Source organism: Homo sapiens, chromosome 4 (genome assembly GCF_000001405.40).
Source record: "Homo sapiens chromosome 4, GRCh38.p14 Primary Assembly".
Lineage (NCBI taxonomy): Eukaryota > Metazoa > Chordata > Mammalia > Primates > Hominidae > Homo > Homo sapiens.
In genome coordinates, this window is record NC_000004.12 from 34504925 (window position 1) to 34514179 (window position 9255).

Below are 9255 nucleotides of genomic sequence, written 5' to 3' on the forward strand. Positions count from 1 at the left end.
GCCTGGAAGAAAAGATCTAGCTATGTTAATAGAGATCCTTTACAGATGTAAATTTTCACCCACAAAGGACAGCTTTGCAGGGCCATTTCAAAATATGGCCAAAAAACACGTTGGGGTAAAATATTTTGACTTTCTTCTTTGTCATTTAATGTTACGCCAGAGTCAGATTGGAAAGTAAGTCACAATATACTGGTTAATTAAAACCCATATGATGAGAATTTATGGTTTGTAGGTCATGACTCTCCAGACCCCTTAGATAGAAATTTGGACAAGATTTAAAAATCAGAGATTAGTCTTCACAAAGAAGGTACAATTTCTCAAACTGAGTCCAGCAGACATAATTCTTCCAACATAACTCACGTGGCTAAATTGAGTTTGGAAAGAAGTAGTGAGTAGTAGGATAGAGAGAAGAAAGATGATAAAAATTCATGGACACTAATACACTGAGTGTAAAAATCTCTGAAGTTTGGTAACATCCTGATGATGAGATTTTCGATTGGATTACTGATGGTAATTCTGTCAGTTAGAAAAAATTTCACTAAGAGGGAGAGAATCAGCTGACTCTAAGAAGCTCAGCCTAAAGTTTTGTTTGTTCAGAAACACTCAACAGAGCATGCATAGGAACAGAGGAAGTGGGCAGCAGGGGTAGTAGGGGTGAGCACTCTCAGTGGAGCTTTCAAAGTTAAAACAAAGAAGATCATGGAGATGGAGGTTGAGGGCATTCTCCTGCTGACACACAGAGCTTTCTCTTGACCCTCTCCCAGGGTCAGCAAAGTGCCATTTTCTGTGTGGTCCACATCCATGAAATCTTTGAATTAAGACTGTGTTCTGCTGATAATTCCTCCCATCAAACTTCAAATGACACTTAAAAGCTTTTTAGATTTTTATAAGTGCCCCATGTGTCTTATCTATGCTTTCCCTGCTTACTGCTTCTGTGTCCGGAATTGGTGGGTTCTTGGTCTCACTGACTTCAAGAATGAAGCCGTGGACCCTCGCAGTGAGTGTTACATTTCTTAAAGGCGGTGTGTCCGGAGTTTGCTCCTTCTGATGTTCGGATGTGTTTGGAGTTTCTTCCTTCTGGTGGGTTCGCCTTCTTAAGGCGGCGCTTCTGGAGTTGTTCATTCCTCCCAGTGGATTCGTGGTCTCGCTGGCTTCAGGAGTGAAGCTGCAGACCTTCGTGGTGGGTGTTACAGCTCACAAAGGCAGTGTGAACCCAAAGAGTGAGCAGCAGCAAGATTATTGCAAAGAGAGAAAGAACAAAGCTCCCACAGTGTGGAAGGGGACCCGAGCGGGTTGCCTCTGCTTGCTCGGGCAGCCTGCTTTTATTCTCTTATTTGGCCCCACCCACATCCTGCTGATTGGTAAAGCCCAGTGGTCTGTTTTGACAGGGCGCTGATTGGTGTGTTTACAATCCCTGAGCTAGACACAAAGGTTCTCCACGTCCCCACCAGATTAGCTAGATAGAGTGTGGACTGGTGCATTCACAAACCCTGAGCTAGACACAGGGTGCTGATTGGTGTGTTTACAAACCTTGAGCTAGATACAGAGTGCTGACTGGTGTATTTACAACCCCTTAGCTAGACATAAAGGTTCTCCATGTCCCCACCAGACTCAAGAGCCCAGCTGACTTCACCCAGTGGATCCGGCACGGGGGCTTCAGGTGGAGCTGCCTGCCAGTCCCGCGCCAGTGCACCCGCACTCCTCAGCCCCTGGGTGGTGGATAGGACTGGGCGCTGTGGAGCAGGGGGCGGCATTCATCGGGGAGGCTTGGGCGGCACAGGAGCCCACAGAGGGCGGGGGAGGCTCAGGCATGGCGGGCTGCAGGTCCCCAGCCCTGCCCCATGGTAAGGCAGCTAAGGCCCCGTGAGAAATTGAGCACAGCAGCTGCTGGCCCAGGTGCTAAGCCCCTCACTGCCCAGGCCGCTGGGGTTGGCCGGCCGCTCTGAGTGCGGGGGTCTGCCAAGCCCACGCCCACCCAGAACTCACGCTGGCCCGCAAGCACCACTTGCAGCCCGGGTTCCCACCCGTGCCTCTCCCTCCACACCTCCCCGCAAGCTGAGGGAGCCGGTTCTGGCCTTGGCCAGCCCAGAAAGGGGCTCCCGCAGTGCAGCGGTGGGCTGAAGGGCTCCTCAAGTGCCGCCAAAGTGGGAGCCCAGGCAGAGGAGGTGCGGAGAGTGAGCGAGGGCTGTGAGGACTGCCAGCACGCTGTCACCTCCCACTACTTTAATATGTTGTAGCAGCACTATTACCCCTAAGGCCTGTTTGTGCTGAAGAGCCTCTTCTATTACAGATTCCCTCTTCCTCAACCTCCCACCTTTCAAATCAAACTTCTACAGGGACAAAGCTGTATGGATACCCTTCCCCTCAAAGATTTCTTGAAAAAACAAGGGGCTGATGTAACAGTTTTGAATTTAAACATCTGGAAAAAAATATAATTAATTAACATCAACTAATCATTAACATGAATGAATTAAAATTCTTAATTAAATGTCAAGTATTGGACATTTTAATGTAAAAATAAACTAGATTTAAAAAATTTAAGAATCACTCCATCTCTAATATAAATTTAAAAACATTAGGACAAATTTAAGAGGCATAATATCCTCACCTCTTGTTGAGTTCCTGTGAGCAAAGTATATTGCCAGATATTGAATGAAGACAGCTTGAATGAATACGTAGAGCAAGGGCAAGATTCCATGTTCTAAAACTATTAGAATACCTCTCTGGACTTCCCATCTAATTGAGGAAAATTTTGCTGATAATATTAAAGATAGAACTTCTATTTAGGAATCTTTGGTTGTAAGGAATACCCCAGGTATTCTGTCTTGTGTTGCTTTTTCTTTTATCTAAACATTCTTCCTGGATAGGCTACTAATACTCTTGTATTCTGATAACTCAAAAATTATATCTCCACCTCTGGCTACTCCTCCTGATTCAAGATTTACATATCCAATTGTCAATCTGATATAAACAGTTGGAAGGCTAGTAAACATCTCAAAATTAAAATAAGCAATGGAGAACTGCTGATTATCTTGTCTAAATCTACTTGCTAAGTTTTATTCATTACAGCAAATGACAGCCATTCATCCAGTTGTCTAATTCAAAAATCTAGGTTATAGCTTTTATTCCTCTATTTCATTTTATCCCCATGTGTAATTTTAAATTAGCATGTCTATCCCCCAAACAACATTCCAAATTCCATTATATCTCTTTGTCTACAGTGTAAAAGAAAAATTGCACCTGGTCAGTTAAACAGACCACACATTATTTAAGACTATGAGAATAAAGGTGTATTATGTTTGCTTTCCATTATTCTTAAGAAGGTTAATGGTACTCAGCCATCTGTATTTACTAATTGTCTCTTATCAAAGCTTGGGTCTTCCCCTCCCATAGAGAGACAAGGATCTTATCTTTCTTGATGATTACATTTCAAAAGATGACTCTCAACTCCTTGAAAAAGATATTTCAGAGTTGTAGATGATTTACATCTCAAAGAGGCATAAAAAGAATTTGCAATTCCAAGTTTTCTAAAGTAAGTGTTTTAAGAAAAGGGAGTAGAGACCTATAGTCAGAAAGAAGCGTGACTAAAGTTTAGTCAAACTCAGGGGAAGTTAAGACCATCTTGGTAAATACTATGAGTACTCTTATTGAAGGTACAGTCACCCTTTGCTATGACTACTGAAATGTCTTTGTAAATCGTTTTCCTTTTTTTCTGTTTTGCCTTTCTTTTTTACTACAGATAAATAAAATTAGATTTTTTCTGTTTCTCAAACATACCAAAGGATTCCCATGTTTCGGCCTTTCAATTAGCTCTCAGCTTGGTTTGTGGTGTTCTCCTTGTACCAGTTATTAAATTATTCTTTCTCCTTTCCAAACCCATCCTTCTGTGTTCTGCTATGCTTTTCCATGTAATGACTGACCTGGGCCAATGCAGGCTACATTTCTCTTTTGCTAGGTAGACCCCTATTTTGTTTTTGACAATAGCAAGTACTATATGGATACTAGAAAGCTGGAGAAAAAGATATACCTTATTAGTGTTGGCCTCCTATTCATATCAGCTGTTGCTGATATGAATGGTGGTCCTAAAACCTGGTGTTTTGGTAACAATTTAAGTTTGTTGTTTTTAACCTCCAATTTCTAGCTTCTTTTCACATTTACAAATCCAGCTTTTTTCCTTCCTGTAATAGCCAGAATTTTTAGGAATGATCTTGAATTATGGAATTGAATTATGTCTTCAATATGGAAGACATATTGAATTATGTCTTCCAAAAAGTTATAGAGAAGTCCTAATCCCTGGTGCCTGTATAGTCTTATATGGAAATAGAGTCCCTGTAGATGCAATTAAGATGCCAGTTAAAATAAAGTCACTCTGACATAGGGTTTGTGAACCTGTTACTGGACCAAACTGAGGATCGAGCTGCTATTTCTCGTGGCCCAATAACGAGATGCAGATGAACTGGGGAGGAAGAGAGTTTTTATTTCTGTAACCAGTTACAGGGAGAAGGCCCAGAAATTACGGCCAGACCAACTCAAAATTACAAAGTTTTCCAGAGCTTATATACCTTCTAAACTATATGTCTGCATGTATTAAGTGTACATTCATCAAATACATAAGTGATTAACTTATTTTAATCTATAACTAAGGTCTGAGTCCTGAAGACCTTCTTTTGGAGCCTAGGTATGTTTACTTAATCTAAATGGGTCTAAGTGGTGGGGTGATTATCTTGTCTCCTGCTAAATCATGCAGGTTTGGGGAGTTCCTTCAGACCTCCAATATACTTGTTTGTGGAGGCCTAGGGAGTCTCTTTAGACCACCATTAAAACTTGTTTAATCCTAAATGGATCCTGTTAAGAATTCATTTATTATTTTGTCATGCTTTAAGGCCCAGAAAAGGCCTAGGCAAAACTCTTGATAGACTTTTGTTACATTCCAGCCTTGGTATAAGAGCACTAGCTTTTTCAGCTTTTGATGTTTAACTTAACCGCTCGGTCAGTTCTGAAACAGTTGTGATGGAGGCCTGCATTAGTGAAACCTGGCCTGCCACAAACCCAGAAAATCTGAGACAGGTCTCAGTTAATTTAGAAAATTTGTTTTGCCAAAGTTGAGGATGCACCCATGACACAGCCTCAGGAAGTCCTGTGTTATGTGCCCAAGGTGGTCTGGGCATGGCTTGGTTTCATACATTTTAGGGAGACATGAGACAACTATTAATATATGTTAGCAGTACATTGGTTTGGTCTGGAAAGGTGGAACAGCTTGAAGCAAAGAAAGGAAGACTCAAAGCCATGAGGGAGCTTCCAGGTCACAGATAGTTAAGACATACTCTTTTGAGTTACTTATTAGCCTTTCCAAAGGAGGCAATCAGATAAGCATCTATCTCAGTGAGCAGAGGAATAACTTTGAATAGATTGGGAGGTAGGTTTGCCCTAAGCAGTTTCCAGCTTGAGTTTTCCTTAGTGATTTTGGGGGCCCAAGATATTTTCCTTTCACAGGTGGGACCTTAATACATACAATTTGACTACTGTCCCCATAAAAAGAGGAAAAAAGACACAGCAGATGATACACACAGAGAAGAGAACATCAAGTGAAGACACAGACAGAGGGAAGATAGCCATGTGATGACGCAGAAATTGCAGTTGTGCAGCTACAAACCACCTAACACCAAGGATTTCCACCAACTCCAGAAACAGACTCTAAGAATAGCTATGAAACAGACTCTCTCTTAAAATTGAAATGCAGGTTCAGTTGATTGCTGCTGGTGGAGTTGATTTAACAAGAGTGAGGTCTGGTGTAAAGCGAGTGACTTTTTAAAAAAGCTATTTTATTTTATTTTTTTCTAATTTTATATTTTTTAACTTTTATTTGATGTTCGGGGAACATGTGAAGGTTTGTTATATAGGTAAACTCATATCATGGGAGTTTGTTGTACAGATTATTTCATCACTCAGGTATTAAGCCCAGTACCAGATAGTTATCTTTTCTGCTCCTCTCCCTCCTCCCACCCTCCACTGTCCACACCCAGACTCCAATGTCTGTCGTTTTCTTCTTTGTGTTCATAACTTCTCATCATTTAGTTCCCATATATAAGTGAGAATATGTGAGTATTTGTTTTTCTATTCCTGCATTAGTTGTTGAGGATAATAACCTCCAGTTTCATTCATATTCTTGCAGAAGACATGATCTTGTTCTTTTTCATGGCTGCATAGTACTTTTTATGGTGTACATGTACCACATTTTCTTTATCCAATGTGTCATTGATGGGCATTTAGGTTGATTCCATGTCTTTACTATTGTAAATAGTGCTGCAATGAACATTTGTGTGAATGTGTCTTTATGGTAGGATTATTTATATTCCTCTGAGTATAGTACATATAGTATATATACTGTATATATACACAACAGAGTATATATACTGTATATATATACAACAGAGTATATATACTGTATATATACACAACGGAGTATATATACTGTATATATATACAACAGAGTATATATACTGTATATATATACAACAGAGTATATATGCTGTATATATACAACAGAGTATATATGCTGTATATATACTACAGAGTATATATGCTGTATATATATGCTACAGAGTATATATGCTGTATATATATGCTACAGAGTATATATGCTGTATATATATGCTACAGAGTATATATGCTGTATATATATGCTACAGAGTATATATGCTGTATATATATGCTACAGAGTATATATGCTGTATATATATGCTACAGAGTATATATGCTGTATATACATGCTACAGAGTATATATGCTGTATATATATGCTACATATATATTATATATTATATATATATATTTTGAATCTGGAAATTGCTTTGGGCAGTATGGTCATTTTAATGATATTGATTCTTCCTCTCCATTAGTAAGGGATGTTTTTTCCATTTGTTTGTGTCTTCTTGGATTTCTTTGAGCAGTACTTTTTAATACTCATTATAGAGATCATTTGCCTCCTTGGTTAGCTGTTTAGAGGAAGAAGTAAAGGCTTTCTGTCTTAAGGGTACTGCTTCACTTTTGGAGCAGAGAGCAGGCAATTTTATAAGGACACATGGCATGAGTGGAATGAAGAGGAGGACGTGAGCAGGTACAGGTTGCGTACTCACTTTGGTGCCTTACCTACCAGGGAATCAAGTTGGTATCTTTGAGTCAAGGGCAGAACTAGGTTGTAAAAGTTGCTGAAATTCTCCAGGAGAGAGTTTCGTAGCAGGCATATTTTGGGGCGTAAATTGATTGTTGTGTCTTAAGGCAAACTCCTGGTGGGTGAGGGTTTTGCTCTGGAGCTTCTAAGCACATAGTCAGATGAACTTGTTCTGTAAGGAGTGTCTGATGAAAGGGAGATAAAAGGCTATAATTACATTTCTAAAGGGCTAAGTAGGAAGGAGTGGGCGGGGAAATGGAGGAAAGAGAAAAAATAATTTAAAAGATCTCATTCTCTTTTTCTTGGAAAAATGGGTGTACTTGTTTACATTCTCAGAGACTTTCAGTAAGAACTGTAGGTTCCTGAATGTTCCTGAAAATGCTCTGATGGCTTGCTGAAAAAACAACTCACAAAGGGCAGATTAGGAAGAAAGGTACACAAATTTACTTAACTGGTTTACAAGATAACCTTCAGAAAGTAGACCCAACGCCTCAATTAAGTACAGAAATGTCTATGCCATCTTGAGGTTATAGAAAATACACAGGCTCAGAGCATGGCAAAAACAGCTTATGATGGTAAACCAGATTATAGTGGGAAGAGAAGTTATGAGAGGAGGAGAAGAGGAGGCTTGGCTAGCAAATTGGTCTTGTCATGTAGATGAAACCACACAGAACTTATAGTAAATGTTTCTTTCAGATTTTTAAAGGTGTCAGACTCAGTTAATCTCTCATAGATCCAGACAAGAGAAGGCCTGCTGTGTTAATGTAGATTCTCTACAGTTGCAAATTTCCCCCACAAAAGGCAGCTTTGCAGGGCTACTTTAGTCTGCTGGACTTGTGGCAGCCATCTCAAAATACATTAAAAATACATTTGAGGTCAAATATTTTGATTTCCTTCAGAAATATTGTCCAACAACTAAATTTTGAAGTTCTTGTGTGCACAACTGTGAAAGAACAAATTTTTGTTAGCTTAAACTATTCAGGTTTTGGTACTTCGGTATTTTTCGTACAGCCTTTTAAAACAAATACAGCCCCTATGAGTCTGCCCTATAGTTCATAAACTCATAAATGTGGTATTACTCCTATGATTGTGTTATGTTATATGGCATAGTTAATCTTAAAAAGGAAAGATGCTCTGGGCATTCCTAATCAAATAATAGAAATATTTAGAAGCAGGGAAATTCCTCTGTCTGGTGGCTGAGGGAGGAATGCAGAAGGAGAAATCAAAAGGATTCAAAGAATAAGGACGGTTTGGTACGCCTTTGCCAGCTTAAAGATAGAGGGGGGCCAGTGATAAGGAATGAAGGGGATATTTAGAAGCTAAAAGCAGTTCCTAGCTTATAGCCTTCAAGAAAACAGGGGGCTCGGATCCACAGCCAGAGGAACTGGGTTCTATTAACAACATTAATGAACTCGAAGAGACTCTTCCCGAGATCCTCCAGATAAGAATCTAGCTGGAGTATATTTTAATTTTAGCCTTGTGAGAACCCAAGGAGAAAATGTAGATGAGCTTGCCCAGATTTCTGATTTACAGGACTGTGGGAAAAGAAATGAGTGTTGTTTTAAGCTGCAAGTTCATGGTCATGAGAAGTGAAGTGAGCTGGACTTCCTGGGCCAAGTGAGGACTTGGAGAACTTTTCTGTCTAGCTAGAGAAATGTAAACACACCAATCAGTGCTCTGTGTCTAGCTAAAGGATTGTAAGCGCACCAATCAGCACTCTGTAAAAATGCACCAATCAGTGCTCTGTGTCTAGCTAAAGGATAGTGAATGCACCAATCAGCACTCTGTAAAAATGCACCAATCAGTGCTCTGTGTCCAACTAAAGGATTGTAAACACACCAATTAGCACTCTATAAAATGGACCAATCAGCACTCTTTAAAATGGACTCAACCAGTGCTCTGTAAAATGGACCAATCAGCAGAATGTGGGTGGGGTCAAATAAGGGACTAAAAGCTGGCCACCCCAGCCAGCAGCAGCAACCTGCTCCGGTCAACTTCCATGGTGTGGAAGCTTTGTTCTTTTGCTCTTCACAATAAATCCTCCTGCTGCTCACTCTTTGGGTCCACCCCACCTTTAAGAGCTGT

General features: G+C 40.2%; 1 annotated feature.

Annotated features, from left to right (window-relative positions):
- Nucleotides 7475-8253: an enhancer, noted in NCBI's record as "OCT4-NANOG-H3K27ac hESC enhancer chr4:34514021-34514799 (GRCh37/hg19 assembly coordinates)". NCBI's record gives its function as "activates a minimal SCP1, AML or CMV promoter by ChIP-STARR-seq in primed H9 embryonic stem cells {active_cell/tissue: H9 hESC(primed)}" and the evidence as "EXISTENCE:reporter gene assay evidence [ECO:0000049][PMID:30033119]".